This window comes from Homo sapiens, chromosome X (assembly GCF_000001405.40).
Source record: "Homo sapiens chromosome X, GRCh38.p14 Primary Assembly".
Classification (NCBI taxonomy): domain Eukaryota; kingdom Metazoa; phylum Chordata; class Mammalia; order Primates; family Hominidae; genus Homo; species Homo sapiens.
The window spans coordinates 85,775,728-85,777,926 of NC_000023.11; positions in this window are offsets into that span (position 1 = coordinate 85,775,728).

Below are 2,199 nucleotides of genomic sequence, written 5' to 3' on the forward strand. Positions count from 1 at the left end.
TCATATTTTGTTTATCCATTTATCTGTGGTGGAAAATTAGGTCATTTCTACATTTTGGCTATTGTGAATAATGCTGCTATAAACATTGTTGTACAGATGTCTATTCAAGTCACTGCTTTTAAATATTTTTGATATATATATATATACACATAGAGAGAGAGAGAGAGAAATAGAGAATGAGAGAGATAGAAAGAGGGAGAAGGAGATGTAGAAATGCTGGATCACATGAAAATTATAAGTTTAATTTTTTGAGGAATTACTGTACTATTTTCCATAGTAGCTGCACCATTTTACATTCCCAGCAACAATGTACAAGGGTTTCTATTTCTTTACATTCTCAAAAATGTCTGTTATTTTTTGTTGTTGTTTTGTTTTTTTAAATAGCAGTTCTAATCCTTCTGAGGTGGTATCTTATTGTGGCTTTGATTTGCATTTTCCTAAGGATTAGTGATATTGAGCATTGTTTTGTATGCTTATTGGCCATTTGCATATCTTCTTCAGAAAAATGTCTATCAAAATCCTGTGCCCATTTCCAATGGGCGGTTTTTGTTGTTGAGTTGTAGGCATTATTTATACTAATGTATTCTGGACTTTAATCCCTTAACAGATATATTTTCTCACATTCTACCTGTTGCCTTAGTTCATTCTCTTGATATTGTCTGTAGTAGTCCATTCTTACATTGCTATAAAGAAATATCTGAAAGTGGGTAATTTTGTTTTTTTAAAAAGGTTTAATCAGCGTATAGTTCTGTAGGCTGTACAGGCTTCTCCTGGGGAGGCCTCAGGAAACTTACAATTATGGTGAAAGGTTAAAGGGAAGCAGGAACATATAAGATTTGTCCTTATTTTTTGTCTAAGAGTTTTACAATTTTAGCACTTATGTTTATGTCTTCAATTAATTTTCTCTTACTATTTGTATATGGTGTAAGGTAAGAATCCAATTTTATTCTTTTCCATATAGATATCCAGTTTTCCCACCACCATTTGTTGAAAACACTATCTTTTTCTCCATTGGACAGTCTTAGCATCCTCATTGAAAATCATTTGACCATATATAGAAAGGTTTATTTTTGAATTATTTATTATATTCCATTAGTCTATATGCCTATGCTTTTTTCAATACCACACATTTTTTATTACTGTAGCTTTGTAATAAGTTTTGAAGTCAGGAAATGTGACTCATCCTGTTTTGTTTTTCTTTCTAAAAAATGTTTTATATATTCAGCATCCCTTGAAATTTCATGTAAGTTTTAGGATAGGTTTTTCTATTTCTGCTCCCCCAAAAATGTCATTGGAATTTTGATAGTGATTAATTGAACCTATGGATTGTTTTCGGTCATATTGTCATAGTAACAAAAAATATTTCTTCTAATCCAATGATGTTTGGCTACTTTTTATAATTTTTATCTTTTGTCATTAGTTTCATTTTAACATATTATCATTCTCCTTATTTAGTTTAGTTCTTTGTGTTTTTCTTTAGCACATTGAGGATATTTGAAATAGTTGCTTTCATGTATTTGTCTGTTAAATCTGATGCCTGTCATTCTTCTGGGATGGTTTTTGACATTTTTTTTCCTTTCAATGGGCTACATTTTTCTATTTCTTTTATGCATTGTAAACTTTTTATTAATAATTTAGCATTTTAAAAAAAGTCATCTTTCTCAGTCTTTGCAGACTGGCTCTGTGCCAAAGCAGTCCTTCACTAATTAGCTGAGTGTATTATGGGTCTTGCAATTATTCTGAGGTGAAAACTTAAGTTCTTCTCAGGTCTTTTCTGAGCACGCATTCTGCCTGGGCCTGTGTGTGGCTTTTTTGAGTCTCACATACATGTGGTTGCTTTTCAATGTGTTAATTTCCCAAAAGTCTCACCCTAGCTTCTTTTCAGGGCCTTAGATGGACTATTAGATGTTTCCATCAATAATTATTTGCCCTAGGGGTCTGCACATTTACAGTCCATCTGCACATTTCCCAAACTGTGCCTGCTGCTGTTCCCACCTGAGATCTGAGATGGTGAAACAAAAACTGGTCCTTCATGCAGCCCCTAGAGTGGTTAAAAGTTCACATATGAAGTCGGATAAACTCCCTTCAGTCAAAAGATGGAACTGAGAGTTGGGCTGCCTCCTCCACCAAACCAAGACTGTGCTGTACCTGGGATGGGGTGGGACAAATGAGGTAAAAATGCCACAAAATATCTTACCA